The 22870-nt window shown below is 44.8% G+C and overlaps 1 long non-coding RNA gene across 3 annotated transcripts, besides 2 other annotated features; it reads right to left on the bottom strand.

Annotated features, from left to right (window-relative positions):
- Positions 1-1942: 1942 nt before the first annotated feature.
- Positions 1943-14599, bottom strand: LOC105375522 (uncharacterized). 3 transcript variants are annotated; one of them, XR_001745032.2, is made up of 3 exons: positions 14513-14599; positions 12956-13037; positions 1943-2037 (listed from the first exon to the last, which is right to left on the bottom strand). It is a non-coding gene; the product is annotated as an uncharacterized LOC105375522 (long non-coding RNA). The 3 variants fall into 3 exon arrangements; XR_928023.3 differs by lacking the exon at positions 14513-14599 and adding an exon at positions 14220-14358; XR_007060543.1 differs by lacking the exons at positions 1943-2037; positions 14513-14599 and adding exons at positions 7140-7265; positions 14220-14358.
- Positions 18392-19307: an enhancer, noted in NCBI's record as "OCT4-NANOG-H3K27ac-H3K4me1 hESC enhancer chr7:135438563-135439478 (GRCh37/hg19 assembly coordinates)". NCBI's record gives its function as "activates a minimal SCP1, AML or CMV promoter by ChIP-STARR-seq in naive H9 embryonic stem cells {active_cell/tissue: H9 hESC(naive)}" and the evidence as "EXISTENCE:reporter gene assay evidence [ECO:0000049][PMID:30033119]".
- Positions 19308-20223: an enhancer, noted in NCBI's record as "OCT4-NANOG-H3K27ac-H3K4me1 hESC enhancer chr7:135437647-135438562 (GRCh37/hg19 assembly coordinates)". NCBI's record gives its function as "activates a minimal SCP1, AML or CMV promoter by ChIP-STARR-seq in naive H9 embryonic stem cells {active_cell/tissue: H9 hESC(naive)}" and the evidence as "EXISTENCE:reporter gene assay evidence [ECO:0000049][PMID:30033119]".

Below are 22870 nucleotides of genomic sequence, written 5' to 3'. Positions count from 1 at the left end.
AACCCAGACTTTTTGATTTTTTGAGAGACAGCTGGTAGACAAAAAAGAGACAGCTGTGTTTGAACGGGGGCAGATATGCAAAAGGACAAGCCAATGGCAGGCGGAGGATGGCGCTAAAAATGATTAGCACATGTGCAATGATTTGTTATGAGGAGTGGGATTCACATTTGCTGCAGGAGGGGCTGTGGGCCTCCTTCAGTCCAGCCGAGCTTCCTAAACTATCAAGACTCTAGGTGGGGTCCTAGCTCTTCATTTCCTCCCTGGCCTATTATAGAAGCTCTGCGTGCCTGACACCCCTGCTCCTCCCTGTCCCCTGCTATCTCCCCGAGTAGAAAAAACCCAGCTGGTGGAGAAGGAGCTTCCTCAGCTTGGTTCCTAGGGAAGAAGAGCTGGGATTCAGCACATTCTAGGTTCTGTTGTTTTAGGCCTGAGCTACAGGACACTGTCTCCAGCCGCGTTCCCAGCCTAGCATCCCTCACACCCGGTTAATTCTACCAGAGGATTAGGGCACATTGTTAATTACATACAGGGGTTGGGAGTATCTGTTCTTAAGATCTTTGAGGGGATCTGTCAGACAGAGGGAAACATGAATACAGTATTCAGTTTTCATGTGGTTTGTCCTTCCTTGCTGATGCAACTTCTCCACCTGGTCCCCAGTGAGATAGTACAGGCTGAACTAATGAAATAGCTGAGGCTCCTGGTCCCACCACACGAGTATGAGTCACCAGCAGGACCAACTACTTAATGTTCAGGGCCCAGTACAAAATGAAAAGCCAGGGCTCCTTGTTCAAAATGTATTAAGAATTTTGAGACGGCAACAGCAGAACACTAAATTGAGCACAGGGTTCTTTTGTGTATGGGGCCCTGTGTGACTTCACTGGTCACAGGCTTATGGAACCGGGCCTGTCATAGGATTGTCTACGAGTGTATAGACTAAGAATCTCCTTGTTTAGGCTGGGATGCTGCCCCCAGTGGGGTAGAGGGACCCTCTCTGTAGTAGGCTCTCTAGAAGGAATGGAAAGAGGAGTGAAGCCAGACAAACAGAAAATGCAGTCCTAGACCTAAGAGAGCTTCTGTGGCCCTGGGAGGCAGACAGACACTGTCCCTAAAAAATAGATTTTTGGAACAACTTCACATGGACAAGATGACATGGTTGACCATCCATACATCTTACTCTGCTTAGGGCACATTTCCAGTGGGGTTATCCAGGAAAGGTAAACACAAGAGACGCTTCACCATCAAGGGCAGGGGAGGTAAAGCTGAAGTAAGGAAGCTCCAGCACCTTCTATGTGATTGCTGCATTTTGTGCTCAGTTTCTGGAGGCCTCTGACAATATTCAGAATTCTTATGTGCAAATCAGGGAGTTGAAATAACTGACCTCTAGGTCTCTCTCAGCTCTGTTAACATGTGCCCAGCCTTCTCTACAACAAAGTTCCAGGCATCTGTAACATAGCAGACTATTCTAAACATTGGTAGCTTAAAACCAATGTTAAGAATAAATATATATGAATATAATAAAACCACCATTTTATTATATCTCACCATTTTGTGAATTAGGAATTCACACAGGGCTCAGCCATTCAATTTTTCTGCTCCATATGGTATCAGCAAAGGTCATTTGATAGTGGATGGGCTAGGCTGCTTCCAGGATGAGGGCCCAGGATGGCCTCACTCATGTCTTGCACCTTGATGCCTTGATGGGGATGGCTGGGAGGCTGAGATCAGCTGGCACCAATATGTAACCTTTTAAGCATGTGAACTCCAAGTAGTAAACTTCCTGCATGGTAATTCAGGGTTCTCAGCAAGGATTCCAAGGAACCCAGAGAAGAGTTTCAACCCCAGCCACGGAAATTTCAGAATGTCACTCCCACTGCATTTTACTGGTCAAGAAAAAAGCCAGCCCAGATTCAAGCAAAGAAAAATTGGACTCCACCTCTCATTGTGAGGAGTTGCAAAGGATTTATTTGTGGCCATTATTGGATCCATTATGAATGTGGCTCATACAAGAAAGAAGAGAAGGAGCTCAAATCAGCATACCTGTGGTCAAAGAAAAAGCCTAGACTCAATATTAAAATATTAGGAGATAAATGTACATTTGATGTCTTAAGTTAAAATATTTAAAATATAGGGGTCCTATTTTTGTACTGATTCCTCAACTTTTTTCCCCTTTATTTTGACCTATCACTTGACTCAGTTGTATGGAATAAGAATCTCTAAGTTTTTTTGAAAAAATTCAAGAACTTAGATCCATGACAATACCTTATTTGTCCTTAAGGATTCAAAGCGCAGAGTGTGTTTACTAATTCAATACAAACAAACAAACAAAAACTAGGTGCCCACTTTCGTTCGTGCCAGAGCTTCCCACAACAACCCCTGTGGTTTGTCCTGTGAAGCTCCAATTCTTGGTGCTAACTTGCCTTTGTTGTGGGCCATTTTCACCTCTTTCTTCCACTGTCACCTTAGCTGCCTGCCATTTTCCAGGGCACACTTTGGTCACATGTTTCTCCAACACAGAGGCTCCCTTCCTCTGCCTGCTTCTAGCTTAAGCTGGGAGATGCTTCTTACACCATACTTTCAAGGAAAACCAGTGTTTTCCTTACGCAGATGTCGAAATGCTGGCCATCTGCTAACCCTTCTCATGAAGTTATCCTTGCTCAGGCCCCTGAGAGTTTCCCTAATGATGCATCCCCAGGTGCCATCATCCCCTCATCTCCTACAGACCTTACCAATGCCCATCAGAACCTGCACCTCAGTGGTCCTGGCATCCTTTGTTGCCATAGTAACCATCTCTGGGCTTCCACACACCCTTTCTCATGCCCAGAGTCCCTTCTCCAATAGTCTCTGGCAAAACAGAGCCTATATTTTTCAACCATTCTTCCTCATTAAGCCTTTTCCAGCTCACGTCACCCATAGCTGGCCTTTGCTCACTGAATCCTGGCACTCCTTGGCCCGCTCTCCACGCCGTCTCTCTCCTGCAGCCCCTGCATCACCTTAGAACTCTCCTACCTTCTATGCCTGTGTGTCTTGCCACTCCCCACTGTAGTGCAGAGCTTTTGAGAGCACAGATCGTGGTTAATGCATGTGTGTGTGTTTGTCTCATACAGCATAGAAAACAGGACTGGGCTTCACAGTCTATGCTCTAAAGAGGCGTACTGAAATGAAATGTCTAAAAAAGGTACATAACTGGTGCCAGGTGCTGAATTCAGCCCTTTATAGAACATGAACTCTTCATTTTCACCTCATACCACTATGGCCTCCTCTCAGGTCCCAGTTTAACAAAATCCCACAATAGGAAAGAATTTGGATGTCCCATGTAGTTAATTATAATTAGATTTTTTTAACTTTTATTTTTAGATTCAGGGGGTACATGGGCAGGTTTGTTACCTGGGTTATAATGCGATTTGGAATCTGGTACAAACACAGCTCAGAATGCCAAATAAAGGCATGAATATCATGAGGTAGCGTCAGTGGCACAACTTGTTGGCAGGAGAGCTTGAGCTTACGTGGCTCAGACTCCAGGCAGAGAGAATATTCTCGCCTAGAGAAGCCTCAGCCCTAGGAACCAGGCATTTGTGAGTGAGGGGTGAGAAAGAGGTTTCCTGCTCTCGAGGAGAGGAATCATGTAGGAGTTGTGAGAAATAAAGCTGTGGAAGGGAGGGGTGGATCCCAAATCCCACACCCTCAAAAAAGTCAGACTTTAATTCTTATATATTTTACAAAAATTGGAACCAGTGAGGAAAAGAACAAGCCACAGAAATTCATTCTTGGCTCCTGTCAGACAATTGAGCCCCAAACCATGATCTTAAAATCTGTTTGCTATTGAACAGGCAATTGGAAGACCAAAAGGCGCTGACATGTCTGGGGGCTCCTGGCTCAGCTGCCAGCTGGAGGGTTGGAACGGTTGCCAGCAGCCTGCTCTGGTACACTCTGTCCCACTCTGTCCCTGCCCAAGTCCACTGCAGTAATTAGCTCTGCTCATTAGTTTCAAGTAAATAATCTCCTTGTCACAGCTGGGATCCTTTATCAGAGCAGTGGACATTAGGGTTTACAGAAGGAAAATGATTTTTTTTCCCCTGGAATTCCCTGGAACACTAAATCATGACCCAGTAATCTGAATGAGGCAAGGAAACTTCCTAAGACATCTAAAAATTCCGAAGAACAGTTCTGCTTAAAAGGTGGAAGAGTTGGGTATTTAAAACAAACAGCCAAAATACAATAGCCACCGCCACCCTTAGAAGTGGATAATGATTTTTTTCTTCAGTTCACCTTATTAGCTCAGATCATCAAAATGCACAAAGTATTTGTTAAGGGCTAATATTGAGGTATTCCCAACCCCGGGAGAGCATCCAGTCTAGGCAGAGAGAGAATGACAAGTAAATTGGTCTAAATGCACTAATGGCATTCTTGCACTCATAATGCATGCAAACAGCAGAATGCACAGAGGGAGGGCACTTTAAGCCAGCCTGGTTCTTCAGGGATGGCCTCCCAGAGATGTGGTGCTGATTTGAGAAAGACGAGGAGTGGCAGCCAGGAGTGCCTCTACAAGAGGGCTTGCACTGAGGAGGCACGGGCTGGATTCTGAGGTTTTCGAAACAACTGGCAAAATACATTTCCTCATCCTTTTGTCCCTTGGTATCACATCAGTTTGCCCACTTTGAAGAAGGGGAAAGTGAGAAGAGAAACTTCAGCTCTGCCCCTGGATGACCTGTGGAGTTGGGGCTCAGGGGACAGCTCTGACATTGTGGGGGCAGGACCCCTGCCAGCTTCAGGAAGAGCCTCATGGTGACAGGGCATCTCATCCCTGGCCCTTTAAGCTCTGCCTTCCATGTCCCCACCCTAAGGATTGCAGGGGCATCTGCAGCACCCTTAGTCATTGCCAGAGAGGGTGCCCAGTCTGCTCACAAGCCTGCATGGGCCACAGCTCAACACCAAATGCCAATCTCCTTCCAGTGTGGCAGAGGCTCGCTCTGGAGTTTAACACAGGGTTGCCCAAGAGCAGAAAGAAAACACGGGTAATTCAAGGGCAAGAGGGATACGTTTCCTGATAGATTGATTGGAAATTACAAGATAGGAAGACAAGGTAAAGAGGTAAATAATTGCGTGGGGGTTAAGAGGATGAGCTTCGGAATCAAATATTGCTGGTTTTCAGTCTCAGCCCTGCTACTTCCTAACTGCATAGGAATGTTCCTTGACTTCCCTGAACCTCACTTTCCTCATCTGTAAAGTGGGTGTAATAGTACTTACCCCAGGGGGTTGTTATGAGAATTAAATGCAGTAATATGTGTAGCCACTCCGTGCAGGGTCTGGCACACAGAGGCTTTCAATGAATATTACCCGTCGTTTTTTCTGTCCATTTACATCCCCCATATCAATGCATAGGATACCCAAATCCACCAAATTTACCTGAATCATCTAGATAGTCACCTTCATTTGATCATTTTGGAGATAGCCAATGATATTTTACACTGGTAGTTTTTTTTGTTGTTGTTGTTGTTGTTTTTTAACCAGAAAATGAAAAGATACTTTCTAGTAGCAAAGAAGAGTTTCTAGGAAGATCAGTGCTAGAGACAAACAATGGTGTCCAAGTTCTCATGTCCTTTCCCACAGAAAGGGCTTATTTAATGAAACTTTGACTAACTGGTACCCATCCCACGCCCTTGGGTACACTTAGTGATAATGTGATGTCCCAGAATGGATAATCCCTGTGAACATCCTGGCTGGACCACAGCATCCCACGTCCTGGGATGAGCTGAAGTAGAGATAAGAAGGCCTTCACCATTTGTTCATTTGGACTAATTTATGTCACTTGTTCTTTGATTAGCAGCTCTTACATTCAAGGTGCTGCTTTAGAGACCACTGCCCTCACCAGGGACGATAGAGGCAGAGCCACCGAATGGGCTTCCCTTTGATTAGGAAATTGACGCTCTCCATCCACAGCTGTGGTCACAATCAGCAAACTCTACTTATTGACAACTGGGTAAAGCCCAGCCTGACCTCCCTATGAAAGAGACAAACCAGGATTTTTACTCCTGTCTTGCAGAGCAGGAAACAATCATGCTTGTTTGATGCCATTCCACTTGACAAGGAAAGAAACTAGGGCTTGCCCCCTGGTTTTCTGATTCTAAAGTCCATATTGTCACTGAATCAGGTACTTTTGTCACATGGAGGGGGAAAGCTACACATCCTTTGCCCTTTAAAACCTAGAGGACACATTTCAAGGACAGTTGGCAATAGGCTATGGTCCTGGAACCTCTAACCTTTATTCACGCCATGATCTAGAGAATTTTGCAACTAGTTTCATCATGCCCCAAATTGTGCTGTTACCTGAATTAGAAACATTCAGTCAGCTGGACAAATGAAGCAGAGGGAAAACGTTGGGACTCAGAGAACTTCTAGGAGGACAGAGGCAACATGATTCATTCTCAGTGGAAAATTGCATGGGTAGCTCCAGCTAGTCTCCCACTTCTTCCATTTTCCTGAACTATCCAGATCCTTCTATTTCTGGGCTTCCTTTATATTATCTCTCTATGTGATCAACCTCTCGGTCACTCAGCACCTATAAAAATCACCTGTCCTAGGATCCAATAACTTCAAGACTGCTTTCAGCCAAATGTGGGGTTAGAAAAACTCCAACGAACAATTTTATTCTAAAGGGGTAATAACTTAATATGTTGTGTTTCTCCAGAATATTTGTTTTTTGTTTTGTTTTGTTTTATTTTTTAAGAGAAGGTCAGGGGCCGGGCATGGTGGCTCATGCCTGTAATCCCAGCATTATGGGAGGCCAAGGTGGGCGGATCACGAGGTCAGGAGATCAAGACCATCCTGGCTAACACGTTGAAATCCCGTCTCTACTAAAAATACAAAAAAATTAGTCGAGCGTGGTGGCACGTGCTTGTAATCCCATCTACTCGGGAAGCTGAGGCAGGAGAATCGCTTGAACCCAGGAGGCAGAGGTTGCAGTGAGCTGAGATCGTGCCACTGCACTCCAGCCTGGGCAACAGCAAGACTCCATCTCAAAAATAAATATAAATAAATAAATAAATAAAGAAGAAGGTCATTAACCTTAAGACTTAATGGCAGAACTTTAGGCATTATGACAGGTGGTGGGTGGGGCAGGCAGTACCTTACAGCAAGGGGCTCTCTCACCACACACGGGAGGCTGTTGTAAATTTCCTTTCTCCCTCTGTCCAATATGGTCAGCCCTAGGTCGCTCTTTTTCCTCTGAAATCAAAATCTCATCCAGCTGCTGGGAAGACAGAACAAAGCTGCCAACTGATTATTATTCAAGAACAAAGCAGACCATTTATTTTAGCAGGTTCAGAGCCATTATCTCCCCAGGACACGAGCTACGGTGTGTGCCGGCTTTATCTACCCAAATTTCCTTCCGTCCTTAAATCCTTAAAGAGGGTGCTGTTCCTCTTGCTGGAGCAAGACAAAAGGGAACAGGAGAAAGAAATTTCTTACAGCAATGACCTATGAAACTTCTCTCTCCTTCCTTGGCTGCCTAGGCTTCTCAAAGGCAATTGGATTTCCTGACTCTTTGAGAAACTACAGACAGATAAGAAAAGGTATGAGAGAAGCAGGCTTGGGCAGGCATCTTCCATTTGAAATAAGGCAGAAGGCTGGGCATGGTGGCTCACACCTATAATACCAGCACTTTGGGAGGCTGAGGCAGGAGGATCACTTGAGCCCAGGAGCCTGAGACCAGCCTAGGCAATATGGTGAGTCCTCGTCTCTACAAAAATAATGCCAGGTGTGGTGGCGCACGCGTATAATTTCAGCTACTCAGGAGGCTGAGGTGGGAGGATCACTTGAGCTCAGGAGGTAGAGGCCTCACTGACCCATGATTGCACCACTGCACTTCATCCTGGGCAACAGAACAAGATGCTATCAAAAAAAAAACAGAAAGAAAGAGAGAAAGAGAAAGAAAGAAAGAGAGAGAGAGAAAGGAAGGAAGGAAAGAAGGAAGGAAGGAAGGAGGAAGGAAGGAAGGAAGGAAGGAAAAGGAGAGAAGAGGAGAGGAGAAGAGAAAAGAAAAAAGAAGAAAAGAGAAATACGGCAGCCCAACACCATCAACCTCACTACTATTTTTTTTTTTTTTTTTTTTGAGACAGAGTCTCACTGTGTCATCAGGCTGGAGTGCAGTGGTGCCATCTCAGCTCATTGCAACCTCAGCCTCCCAGGTTCAAGCGTTTCTCCTGCCTCAGCCTCCCAAGTAGCTAGGACTATAGGCATGTGCCACCATGCCCAGCTAATTTTTGTATTTTTAGTAGAGATGGGGTTTCAGCATGTTGGCTTCTTTGAGAGTCTCAAGAAGGAATTGCCAGATAAAACACAGGATGCCCAGTTAAATCTGAATTTCAGATGAACAGTAAATAATTTTTCAGTATATAAGTATATCCCATGCAATATTTGGGATATGCTTATACTAAGCAGTCATTCATTGTTCATTTTAAATTCTCATTTAACTGGGTATCCTGTATTTTTATGTGCTAAATCTGGCAACACCATCACATCATATTTCTGCCCAATCTCCATCCCTCCCCAATAGGCTGAAAAGCAATCATACTAATTCTGACGCAGTGAAGACCAACATGTGGGCTTTATGCTGAGTCCTTCATGCACTTGGTAAAATTCACTTTTAAAGTAACATGAACCCAATACCACCCAGTTGTGCTTCTTTTTTTTTTTTTTCTTTTTTTTTTTTTTTTGAGATGGAGTCTTACTGTGTTGCCTAGGCTGGAGTACAGTGGCACGATCTCAGCTGACTGCAACCTCTGCCTCCGGATTCAAGCAATTCTTCTGCCTCAGCCTCGTGAGTAGCCGGGACTACTGGCAAGCGCCACCACACCCAGCTAATTTTTGTATTTTTAGTAGAGAAGGGGTTTCACCATATTGGCCAGGTTGGTCTCGAACTCCTGACCTCATGATCCGCCCGCCTTGGCCTCCCAAAGTGCTGGGATTACAGGTGTGAGCCACCGCGCCCGGCCCCAGTCGTGCTTCTAACACAATTATTCTTCCCTCTCACTGGCAAGTCTTTACTCCTTTTTTTGTGCTGATTGCTGTTTTAACTGTGTTCTCTTTCCAAACAATTTGTCCATTTGAATTAATCGACCAGTAAAGTTCATGAAAAGTCAGCCCATCCTTTTATTCTTAAACTGATTCTCTGGTAATATCTATCTAACTGATAGCCTGTATTTTTTTTCTCTCACTCAGTCTCTTCCATTTTTGTTCTGCTCAAAGTACACCCACCCTTTCAAGATGCACTGGAATTTGTATTTTATAATCTAGCATACAAGGTCCTCTGAAGACACTTTTTTTTTCTTTTAAACAAATGAAGACTCTACCCTCTGAAGCATTTCATCTTCAGGAAAACAGACACAAAATTATTTAATCATTTCCCCAAAGTCAACATTGGTGAAAATTTCTGGGATTAAGAAAAACAATATGATAGGATTTTGTGGTAGAGAGGCTGCCTTTTATATTTTACTTGTGACTTTTCCCAATGCCAAAATTCTATGACTCTATGATCAATATTCTCCCATGGCTCTCATGGCTGCTAATGGCTATGTTTGGGGGACTTTCTCTTCTAACTGTAAGAGTCTTGAGGCTTAACATTCCAAAGTGCTGGCTACATCCCCAGTGGGAAAAAAAAATTTCTACCATGTAGTAGCTATTTCTATTGTTTTATAAGAATGAAAATAAGCCACATAATTAAGCCTGGAGCCCAGGGAAGGGAGCTCAAAAAATGCCTTCTGTGGTGCCATGATAGTGGATGACAAAGTAGATAAACAGGAATCCCTCCTGTCCCCCAGATAGAAAGTCATATGAGTCGAGTCATCCTCCCGCATCTCCTGCCAGGCTACACCTGGCCAATGTGCTTATATAATACTGGATAATAGTGAATGAAAGTTTACATCCCAGGGTCTCCCAGTGAGTTTGTCCATTCATTCATTCACGCAAACCCATTAATTGCATCTCTCACATGTCAGGTACTATGCAAGACACAGGAAACATAAAGGTCAATAAAACCCTGTCTGGACCCTCAAAGAACTGCAGACTGATGCATGAGACAGGTCCACAAATAATAATGCATCCCAATGTATCTCTCAGTGTTGAACTAAAAGAGTGGGCTCTCTGTCACAGCAACTCTCAACCAGGGCCAATTTTGTGCCCCCCACCCCCACCCTGGGACGTTTAGCAGTGTCTGCAGACATTTTTGATTGACACAGCTGGGGTGAGGGATGCTACTGGCTTCTAGTGGGTAGAAGCGAGGGATGCTGTTAAACATCCCACAGTGCATAGGACGGTCCCACAACAAGGAATTATCTAGCCCCAAAAGTCAACAGTGCTGAGGTTGAGAACCCTCATCTAGTGGGATAAAATATGATGTAGTCAGCTCTGTCTGGTCATCTCTGGAATTTGAGCCGACTTGATCACTTTTGTTCTTTTCATAGTTGTGTCATTGATTGGCTTTTGCTCCTAAGCAAGTTACTTCGCCTCACTTGGCTTAAGTTTCCTCATCTATAAAATAGATGTAGAGTCTCTGATCTCTAAATCCATTCTAGCCTAAGAAGCTATGGTCTTCTTGGGCCAATATTTATGCTTTCACTGAACCCTGCTTCCGAGAGGAGAATGCCTTGGCCAAAGACTGTTTACTCCACTCCAGGTCAAGGAGATAAACTAGTTTCCTGTGTTGATCTGGAGTCTCACTCAGGAAGGGCAAGCATGACCTCTGCCCGAGGACCCTGAGTTAGGACACTTCCATCTTTGGAGTTTTCTCATCAGCAAACAGGAACTACTTAACTGCTCTGCCTCCCTGTGTCCGGAGGAAGCCTTTGAGTCAATGAAGAGATGGAAAATTACCCGGATGCTGTTCCTGTGACTAGGTCCAAACCACAAATGCCACTTTTCTCCCTTTGGGGGGCCTGTGGCAAGGACAGGGTGGGGAGACACTGTGCTGTCCCTGTGGTGTAGGCTGGTGGGCTGGGCCGGGGAGGAGTAGTGTCTCTTTATCTGTCTGTGGGGCTGCCTCAGGGAGGACCTTCGTCATTTTTCTCCCTGAGGACAAAAAACTTCAATTCTTGGCCACATATTTTAGGCTCTGGGGACTGGGTAGGGATCTGGTGCCCTCAAATTCTCACACTCTCTCTCTCTCCCCCGCCGTGGCTTCAGGCTTAGTCACCAAACAGAAAGAGCTTTTCTGAGCCAGCCGGCTGGAGGACAAGAGCAGCTACAGAGACCAGGGGAAGCCAGGTCCCCACAAGACGCGCTCCTGCCTGGGCCTGAACAGAGGCCTCTTCAATGCTGCTGTGGTGCTGCTGTAACCAGAAAGGCAGAAAAAGGGAGACTAGGGCAGGGCTGGAGATGAGGGCAGGGCTGGTCTTGGCAGTGACACTGAGTTTGGTGTTATTGGGCTCTCTGTCTTGGCAGAAATGCATCAAGGATGGCAACTGGAGTATCTTCGTGTCCTCTCCCCTGCTACACCAGTGCCACCTTAGGTAGCAGATCCTGTGTGTGATGAACAAATGAACTGCTGTGAAAGAAAGAGAGAAAGAAAGAAAGAAAGAAAGAAAGAAAGAAAGAAAGAGAGAGAGAGAGAGAGAGAGAGAGAGAGAAAGAAAGAAAGAAAGAAAGAAAGAAAGAAAGAAAGAAAGAAAGAAAGAAAGAAAGAAAGAAAGAAAAACAACCCAGAGACATTAAGTAATATGCCCAAGTTATTTAAACTGCTAGTCAAGGGGAACTTCTATCAAATGTGCTTCACTGAACTTATCAACAATAAAAGTTCCAAATCAGACAAATATTTCCCACTCTGTATGTTTTCATTGCTTGGGATGTTGGGGGTTTTTCTGGAGGCGGCAGGGTTGGTATGATTTACATTAAGTAAAATGTGCAAATCTTAAGTACACCGCTTAATGACTTTTATATATGTATATACCCAAGAATCATGTTCCCAGATGAAGATATAAAACGTTCCCATTGTTCTAGAAAGTGTCCTCGAACCCTATTTCAGTTGATAGCCACTTCAAGAAATAACCAGGTTTTTTTCTACTTCTGTCACCATAAATTAGTTTTGCCTGTTCTTGAACTTCTTATTATCAACCTCATATTGTTTTCTTCAATATAATGTATTTGGGGTTCATCCACATTGTGTCAGTAATTTGTCCTTTTTGATTGCTGTGTAGTATTTCACTGTATAAATATATCACATTCTGTTTATCCATTGTTCTGTTGATGGATATTTTGATTATTTTCAGTTTTTGGTTATTGTAATATATTTATCCTAAAGATATGAATTGGATAGGGATAATTTTTTGTTAATTTGTCTCAAAACATGTGCCTATTTTAATTCCCCTTCAAACAAACTCTAATAAAAGTCATTCTCCAAAGCTCCCAGAAGTTGAGATAGAAAGAAGTATTTATTAAATTACCTCAAAGATCTTTTCAGACATGAAATCCTCTAATTCAATGTCTTCTCTAAGAGCTGCTGTTAAGCACCTGCTTGCATGAATTCTAAAATTTTCTCTGAACTGTAATACAGAGAGTGGTTGTTTCCATGTAGAAACAACCCCTGCCTCTATAAATTCACCGACAAAGACTAGAGAACTTATTCAAGCACAAAAAACATACTCATATCTCTTCACAAGATGGCACCTATTTCCAAATGAAAGATGCTCTCCTGTTCTGCGCACTGGAAGCAACTTGGGAGTGACCAGAAGAAATGGTGGAATGTAAATAAATATAACTACTTCATTTCAATCCTTTTTTCTTCCATGGAAAGCAACGGTGGTTTCTTTCTTGAGATAGGTGGGAAAGAATGAAGCCCACAATGGACTATTTACCAGGCCTCCAAAGCATTTCTCAGAATTTTCAGATCCTGCAGTGAATTCCTACCACCCATTGTATTCAGATTTTCATTTCGTCTAATGCTAACTCTAATGAGTCTATACCATACCTGGTGAGCCGAACTGCAGTACACACTCCATCACACCGTCAGTCTTCTATTTAACCCAGACAAAGGGTCTTTTATACTCTTCCTGGACATGAAAATAAAAGATTGGAAACAATCATTTTAATGATATATTTATTTAAAAAAAAACTTTGCCTTAAGATTTGTTCAACAAATATTCATTCAGCCACAAGGACTGAACTCCCAAAGCCAAAGGTTGGAGTCACCATTATTGTGGCACCTAACATCTTGTATGATGTCTAAAAAAAGGAAAATTCAAAAGAAAATTTGCACAATGGCCCACGATGGCTGTAGTCAGACATGTAGGTAATAAAACCTAGGCCTGTAAACTAAAGCTGACTTCTTGCCTGTGTAACTGGAGTTTGTTACATACTTCACTGACAGGTACTGGTTATAAACCTGTTTATCAGCTGTAGAACAAAGACAGGATGCAAAGAGTTGCCCTCCACCAGACCCTAAGGCACCTAACCTTTCTCCTACCCGCTCCACCATATATTTACCTTATCTTATGGACAGTGTCACCGAGCACCAATCAGAATCACAAAAATTCAACTACTGCTTCCCTCCTCCTTTCTCCCACCTTCTGTGCCACGCCTATCCCTCATTAGGAAATGTATCTATACTGTGCCTCCTGTAACCCACTTAGAGACACATTCTTAGTCTATACTGAGTCTGTGTTCCTGGGCTTCCGTCTTCAAGTGTGGCTCAGAATAAATCTAAGCATGATTTCTCTAAGTTCTAGTGCCTGTTATTTCACTTTTCAGCCAATGGTGTATACCATCCAAACACTGAAGTCCTACCCTCATCACACCTAAGACTGCAACCAAAAATACTATGGACAGGGCGGTGAGGCACACAGATTCCATCCCATCCCCTCTCTGTCTTCTCTCATCCCTCTTGGCTCAGCCCTGATCTCTCTTCTCCTCTCCCCTCCTCTTCTATCCCTTTTCCTACTTGGTCTCCTGTCTGCCGATCTCCAAGGCTCTTTATGAGTTCACAGAAAAAAGAAAAGGGGATGGGGGAATGGGGAGAGGACACACAGATGTAGCTGTTACAACTAAACAGCCTTTATACTCAAGCCATTCAGATTCCTGTATCCCACCTTTAGGTACTATTGGTTCCTCACCTTACCCCACATATAGCCCAGGAAGACCTTATCTGCTCTCCAGCTGGCCTAATGCACCATTATTTTCTCCAGATCCTTCACATCAAGACCCGAACCTCCCTCACCCCACCCACTTGGCTTTACCAAGGTAGGGAATGAAATTCCTCCCTGGGATCCTAATGAGCAGTGGTAGTCCCTGAGCTGCCAATCTCTCATCCTCACAACAGGCAGGGGTGGTGCTTGTCTGTCATTATGCTTGACTCCTTTCCCTTCCTTTCCCTAAGCTGGTCTCGCCCTTTTCTTAAAATGACAACACTGTGTAGAATCAGCTCCTGACAGCCTCACCCACCCCAATCAGCCCCGGCCAGCCAGGGCTCTGGAGGCGTCATCTGAAAACCAGGGTATTTTTTTCTAACCTCTCCCCGCCCTCCACCCACCTCTTGTTCTTTCAAGAACAAATTCTTTCCCCGGCATTTCTAAATTAAGAGGAAAAGAAAAGGAGTTTCTTCCATTTTCGTCGTGGATGAAAATAAGCCAGTTGTCAGTTATTTACCCAAAATCTGATTCGGAAATGACCCAGTCCTAGACTGGATTTAAATTTTAAAGGCAAACCTAAAAAGAGTTTCTGAGATATTTTTTAAAAATTCACCAAAAGTGGCCAGGAGGTGAATTTGCTAAGCTGTGGTTATTGGCAAGAAGAACTGCAAAGGCAGGAAATTCTCTGCATAACTAGCCCGTCTTCCCGAAGCCTGCCGGGAGCAGGAACAGGAGTTTCCAACTCCTCCCTGACTATTTCTCCTGAGTCCCCAGTCCAGGCACCCACTGGCTCTGGGCACAAGCCCGCCAGCCTCTTATTGCAAATCACAGCATATGTTCACATCCATTCATCGAATCCCATTTGGCAAGAGTTCAGGCAAGAAGGTGGGATTAACTTGCCAAGACACCAACCACTCCCTCACTACAGGCTGCACGAAGTCCTCTCCTTCTATGTAATCCAGCCAGACAGCAGCCAAGATGCTTACCTCAGGGAACGTTCCATTCTGGAAAATTCCTTCTGGAATCACTCCTTTCTGTTGCCCCACCAACTCCACCTCTCTGACCCAACTCCCACCACACACAGACACAGTGTATTAGTCAGGGCAGGCTAGGTGCTGCAACAAACATCCCCAACATCTCAGTCAATTAGTACAGAGGGTTTGTTTGTCTCTCATACTTAACATCTGAGCAAATATTGCTATGATTTTGAGGTTTTTTCCAAATTATACTTCTAGCCCTCGAGGTCTTAATTTTTTGAGGAACTGTGACTTATCCATGTTTATGTAACAGAGATGTCCCTCTTTATAGTTTGCAGCGTAAACAGCATACTTCAAGCAGGTCCCAGATGCAAGGTTTGAGCCTTCAAAAGCTGGTAGCAGCCGGAAATCCTATATTTTTATTTAATTCTGTATTTTACAAAATTCCAACTCCTTTGCTTTTATATATCCAAAAGTACCTGCATTCTTACCAGTAGGTAAGATAGATAGGAAATGGGAGGAAAAAATGCAAAGGAAATGAGAAGTCAGAGAGGGATCAAAACTTATTCATCCCTATCCAGCTCTGCCAACAACAGCAGCAGGCTGGTAGCTGGGTATGTAGTCAAGATAGACAACATACTCCCTGGAAGCCACAGTAGTGACCCTCCAGGGCTATGCTCAGTCAAGAAAACTACGCTAAAGATCTAAGCCCCTTCCCACAAGGACTCTTTCAGCTACTTCCCTGGGTGAGCAGACCCCAAGAGACCTGGATCGGGATGGGGTTCAGCAAGTACCTCACAGATCCAGAACCATTTCTCCCTTCTCTCCTGCCTCAGTCAGGTGGATTTATCAGCTCTCCCTGTCTAAGTATCCATCAGTCTAACCACCTCAAACCTCCTAGTAACTTCATTCTGGGGATCCAGTTGCCTGTCTCTGCCACTGGCCACAGTTGGAGCCAATCAGATGCCCATTCACAACAGATCTCCCTAGTTCTGAATCACAGGGGAGGGTGTAAATGCCTATAGTAGATTGTATTCCTGTTCACCAATGATGCCAGCTTTCCATGCTGTGGCAGAAGTATACATCCCTGCCCTGCTGGACTCAGAAACTGCCCTGTGACTTACTTTAGCCATTAAAATGGGTTGGGGGCAGGGGGGATGGAAATGTGGAATGTGTGTCACTTCTGAGCAGAAATTATGAGAGCCAGAGCATGGTTTACTTGACCCTTTTTCCCTCTGCCATGATGACCAAGCAGTGCTTCATATAGAAGCTGCTGCATTAGCCCAGGTCCCAGAATGAGGACAACATGGAGGAAAGCCATAGCCAACCCAGGATGAATACATTGCATGCATGAAAAATAAACCTCTACTGATTCTTGTTGTAAGCCCTTGGAACTTCGGGGTCATTTGTTAAAATGGTGGAAGCTTGTAGATCCTGACTGATGAAGTGAATGCCCTGCCCTCCCTTCCCAGAATGCTCTGGGAGTCCCTGTGTACATTACACCACCTTCTCCCCAGAGCTTTTCATACCCAAAGAGGCTTCTCAAAGAAATCATTTTGCATCTTTTCTCCAGGTCTGTTGCCTGCCTTCTTTAGCAAATAAGGAAGTCACAACATCTGCCCTGGCACGCCCTTCTAGTTTGGCCTCTACGGAAACTGATTGGCAGTTCCTTTTGCTAACGAAGGAAAAAACTGTAATCTCTGAGGGCACTGCCACCACCTACGTTTGCCCTACTGTGGTTTGTGCATGGTAGACACCAGTGGATGTTTGTTGTCTGAAGAGAACGGGGATAATTTTGAGGAAGAAATTGGTAGCATCATTAGTAAAATTTAAAAGCCTGAGAGGTAGGTGGGACCATCTAGAATGTGTTCCATCTAAATTTCTACTCACACCATGTCCCTGTTTTAGCAACCTCCCTCAAACCCCTCCCCGCCAAAAAAAACAAAGAAGCACCTATAAGCAAAGGGTGTAACTCGGTTATTTTTAAACTGAAAATACAAAGATCCAAGGCTTTGGGACAAGTCAAATAAAACTGCAATTTTTATCTCCCTGTCCTCCCCTAGACAAAGCACTTGCATCTGGAGTGGAGATTACGCAGGCATTCGGTCTGTGCAAAGCCCAGAAGCTGAACTGATTGCATTGCAGATGCTTTAGGGACACCTAAACACGGCTTAAGAGGCTCCACCAGGGCAGTTGGTGTTTCCATCAGAGAAAAGACCTGGCCCACTTTGTTCAATTGGCCCATCCATTGGTGGTCCAGCATTTACTTTCCTGAATCACTGCTCTGGCTAGCGGGGCTGGCAACAACAACTCAATATTCAAGCCTCACGTAGACACAGGAACTGAATTGCCCCAATGATTATTTGATCTGGCGCAGAACATGCTATACACAGTGGACTCCACGTTGCAGGTGGATGTTCTGGCCCGGCCTGGCAGAGGCGCGCACGTATCACCGAGTCGTATGCTGGCAACCCTTGAGGGCCAGATGACTTCTCTGCTTTGGAGGCTGGCACTTCATAATTACAGCTGTGTTTGTGTTGTCATACCCAATTACCTCACTTACAGCCTTAAAATAGAATCCAGCCAAAGGTGCTGGCTGCACAGACAAAAAGGGAGGCTTCACAGGACTCAGAACCTGGGGACTGAGCCAGAGGGGAGGGCTTGAAGCTGGACACAAACGTCCTAACGCTTAAAAACCCAGGACTCCTTTCCCTCTCCTCATGAGGGAAACAGAACAGTGCCGCAAGACTGTAAATGAATGAATAGGAGCATGATGGAGACAGAACTCCAAGTCAATCTTGTTTCTAGTTTGGAAACATTCATTTACCCATGAATGAAGTCAACCAAAGAGGGGATCTTAGGTGTCTTGTTAGCTAAGGGAGAAAACCCAGAAGAGTTCTGTCACTGTGTCCGTATGTCCCTCCAATGATGGGAATACCCCAATCCACAAGTGACTCTTCTCTCCAAAAAGAATTTCTGCCATCTGCCATCCCCACAGCTGCAGGCCACAGCAGAGAACCCAATGCAGAAGAGATCCCTCCAATTACAGAGCAAGAGCCATTCCCCAGGCAGGTAGGGAGAGAACAGCAGCTTATATCCGAGGGCAAAGAGGAAGCAAACCTCTGTAGAAACCAAGTCGTAGCAATGCCCAGCACTCGCCTCGCTCTCAAGCTTTCTCCACAGAAACCATAAGGCCCTGCTCCTGAGCTCTCCAACTAGGCTGGGGATACCCCTAAAATTTATTTATTTATTTTTTGAGACAGTCTCACTCTGTCTCTCAGGCTTGAATGCAGTGGTGGGAACAGAGCTCACTGCAGCCTTGATCTCCCAGGCTTAAGTGATCCTCCCCATTCAGCCTTCCAAGTTGCTGGAACCACAGGCCTATGCCACCACACCCTGCTAAATTTTTTTATGTTTTGTAGAGAAGAGGTCTCACCATGTTGCCCAAGCTGGTCTCAAACTCCTGGGCTCAAGCAATCCTCCCGCCTTGGCCTCCCAAAGTGCTAGGATTGTAGGCATGAGCCACCGCCCCTGGCCAGACCTTCTTGTCTGCTCCCTCTCTCCTACCCCATCTCCTGCTCTCAGACATCTGCACATTTCTGATTTTATGTCCTCAATCTTTCTTAAATCCGTGCCTCCTCTCCTTACCACTGGCTCCTGCCCTGATTCAGGTCTTTATTATCTGTCCCTAGAGCTTGGCAGCTTCTTGACTGGTCTCCAACCCTGTCAAATCCACCCTCCACGGCACAGCCAACCATAAAGCCAAGCACCCCACCCACCTGCTGGGACCCTCCAGGACTCCCAGTGACCAGTAGAGTGCAGTGCACATTGTAGCCCATGACTCTCCACCAGGCCTTCCTGTCCCACCAGACAGCCTCCCACTGCTTCCTGCTCCTACTTGATCTTCCAGTAAGGCTAAATGGCATGAGGTTCTGCACCTACATCAAGTTGTCTCTCCCCTCATGCTGTTTTTCAGGTTGTCCGCTCCCTCACCATTCCTTCTCCCACAACCTAGTTAAATCCAATGCATCTCTAAACACTTAATTCAGATTTCAACCCCTCCAAGAAGCCTTCCCCGACACCTCTCTCCCTCTCACTTTCTACATGAGAATCCTCCAGCGTTAAATGTAACATCATGTGCTCTGGATATCTGCAGCGGAGTCTATTGCCGCCATTGTTATGAAGATTCTTGACAGCAGGGGATCTGTCTTATTTGATGTGGTGTATACCTGCTGCTGGGACAGAGGAGATTTTCAAAACCTAGATGAATGAATGCATGAATGAATGAGTGAAGGACAAACAAAAGGGTATTGACTGAGCCACTTTTGTGATTCTGCCTCAGAGAGAGCAGAATCTTCCCCCGCATTACCATGAGAAGGGCCCAGACCAGAATTCCCTCCAATGCATTGCACTTCCCATGTCTAGAAGCCACAGCCACTTTATTGGTTTTCTTGTTTTTTTTGTTTGTTTGTTCTTTGTTGTGGTGGTGGTTTTTTGTTTGTTTGTTTGTTTTTGAGATGGAGTTTTGCTCTTGTTGCCCAGGCTGGAGTGCGCTGACGCGATCTTGGCTCACTACAATCTGCGCCCCCGGGTTCACGCGATTCCCCTGCCTCAGCCTCTCAAGTAGCTGGGGTTACAGGTGCCCGCCACCATGCCTGGCTAATTTTTTGTATTTTTGGTAGAGACGGGGTTGCACCATGTTGGCCAGGCTGGTCTTGAACTCCCGACCTCAGGAGTCTTGAACTCCCGCCCTGGCCTCCCAAATTGCTGGGATTACAGGTGTGAGTCACTGTGCCCGGCCTGGTTTTCTCATTTTCATCTCAGCCCCTGCTAGGCAGCATATGGAAGTGTCTACCATACAGTAGTTGTGTGACCCTCGTTACTTATCCTTTCTAAGCTTCAGGTTGCCATATGTTAAATGGACCCTATTTTAGTATCTACCGAATAGAACTCCTGGGAAAACTGAATGACATAAAATGAGATGTGTAGTCAGAACTCAGTAAATGGTAGATGTAACTAAGCTGGAAAATTGACTAAGAAATACAGGTAGGCGGGCCGGGCATGGTGGCTCATGCCTGTAATCCCAGCACTTTGGGAGGCTGGGGCGGGTGGATCACGAGGTCAGGAGATCGAGACCATCCTGGCTAACAAGGTGAAACCCCGTCTCTACTAAAAAATACCAAAAAAAATTAGCCAGGCGGGGTGGCGGGTGCCTGTAGTCCCAGCTACTTAGGAGGCTGAGGCAGGAGAATGGCGTGAACCCAGGAGGCAGAGCTTGCAGTGAGCAGAGATCGCACCACTGCACTCCAGCCTGGATGACAGAGTGAGACTCTGTCTCAAAAAAAACAGAAATACAGGTAGGCGTAGTGGGAGTTCAGAGTGAAGATGTATTGGACAACTATTGCCTTCAGTAGAACACCTCCCCCTAAAGTATTCCTTACATAATCAATAGCTCTCAGAAGCTCCACTGTCATGATTTTACTGTGCTCTGCTACAAAAGGCAGTGTTATTCATTTCCTTACCAGTCTCAACCAGTGCACTCAGGATCGTAGCGGGAACAAGGAAAACATGGGGAGAGAAAAAAATCAGTACTGTATACTAGGCCAGGCCTTCCCGAGACTTCAATCAGGCCCCTTGAGAAGCTGTAGATGTTCGCCTCCTGGTGCCAAGGTGTAGTGGTGAGAGAGAAGGCCTGACTCATCATCTTAGGAAATGAAATTAGTTACAAACACATTCATTCCCAGCCCAAGTCCAAAAGCTAATCCTCACCCCAGTTTAGTAATTAGCAGGTGACAATTTGGAGATTTGAGCCTACAGATTCGAAAAGTCTGGGACTGGAGGCCAAAATGGTGATTTCTGGTCCTGGATTCCCCATGGCCTGGCAAGCCACGTCCATCGTCCTCACTCACAAGAGTGTCGGCAGGACAGCAGGGAGGCCTGAGTCTTCTTGGCTTCAGCATCAATCAACAAGTATTCAATGGGCAACTGCAGGGTGCTTGCTACCCCGTGCTAGGTCCTTTGGGCAATCCTTGCAGATTTACAAAGTACAAAAAGAAAACATTACACCAGAAGCAAAGATAGTTAGAGCCAGTAAGACTAATCTGATGAGTAGAGGCCATTGTGTGTTGGAGCCAGCTCTTACGGACTTCCTGAGAGCCGATTGTTAATATTTCAGAAACTTTGCAAGCCACTTGTTAAAGTATCAGTAGCTTGAAATCAGCCATGAGTATTTTCACCAGGGGAATTGGCAGGCACTACAAATGAAAGTTTCTCCCCACCCCTCTAGAACTGGTTTACCAGCACTCCAATAAGGAGTTCCTAAAATATAAGGCTTTAAGGCAAGCGAGGGGAGTGGTTTTGCATGCGGGCTCTGAAATCACATAGATTTCTCTGAGCCTGTTTCTTCATGTGTATAGAGCTCACATATATTCAATGCTTACTATGTACCGGATATTATTCTCAACATTTATACGTATTAATGCATTGATACGAGTTAGTGGGTGCAGCGCACCAGCATGGCACATGTATACATATGTAACTAACCTGCACATTGTGAACGTGTACCCTAAAACTTAAAGTATAATAATTAAAAAAAAAAGAAATTACAAGTTAAAGTGCTGCAGCATAAAGAAGAAAAATAATCATTTATGCCATTTTTAATACAGAACCTATTTCCAAATCAAAACCCTTTACACTTGGAATATTGTCAAATCTCAAATTTTTACCTGGCTGAGATCTACGACCACCTTTTGAAACAGAGACAGTGTAGGTATGATTACTCCCTGTATACTCAAGGGTTAGGAAAATGGAAAAGAACCGTGAGCCCCTCAAGAATGGTGGCTTTTCTTATTGGAATGAAGTAAATAAAATAAATTCATCAGCAATGCATTTAATTTCTCTCTTAGCAATTAATTGTGTATCTACATTGAATGATAACTGTGTAAACAGTCAAGATATGCATGTGGCAAATGAAAAATAAAGCAAAATGTTTTATCTTAAAAAAAAATGCATTGATTCCTTGAAACAACCCTATGAGAGGAAATTATTATTGTCCCCATTCTATAGATGAAGAAAATCAAGCCCAAGAGAGATGAGGGAACTCCACCAATATCACACAGCTAGTCAGTGGCACAGCTGGGATACAAAGACAGGCATCTTGCCCCAGAGCCTGCCCTCTCACCTTCTAGCTCTGCACTGCCCGATACAGGAGCCACTGGCTGCATGGAGCTATCAGGTACTTGAAACAGGGCTGGTGTGACTTGAGAAGTGCTATAAGTGTGAAATACACATTAGATTTCAAAGACCTCATGTAAATATTATATATATATATATAAAATATCTTGCTAATACTATATCACTTACTTGTAGAAATGATAATATCTTGGATATATTGAATTAAATGAAAGATATTATTACTATTCATTGCACTTGTTTCTTTTTACTTTTTCTATTTTTTATTTTTTTGAGATGGAGTTTCACTCGTGTTGCCCAGGCTAGAGTGCAGTGGCACCATCTCGCCTCACCACAACCTTCACCTCGCAGGCTCAAGAGACTCTCCTGCCTCAGCCTCTCGAGTAGCTGGGATTACAGGTGTGCACCACCATGCCCGGCTAATTTTTGTATTTTTAGGAGAGACGAGGTTTTGCCATGTTGGCCAGGCTGGTCACGAACTCCTGACCTCAGGTGATCCGCCTGCCTCGGCCTCCCAAAGTGCTAGGATTACAGGCGTGAGCCACTGCACCCAGCCTCTTTTTACTTTTTTTTAGTATGAGTTGTAGAAAA

This window comes from Homo sapiens, chromosome 7 (assembly GCF_000001405.40).
Source record: "Homo sapiens chromosome 7, GRCh38.p14 Primary Assembly".
NCBI lineage: Eukaryota > Metazoa > Chordata > Mammalia > Primates > Hominidae > Homo > Homo sapiens.
The sequence above is the reverse complement of the archived record's forward strand: the minus strand, read 5'-3'. Positions and strand labels throughout refer to the sequence as shown.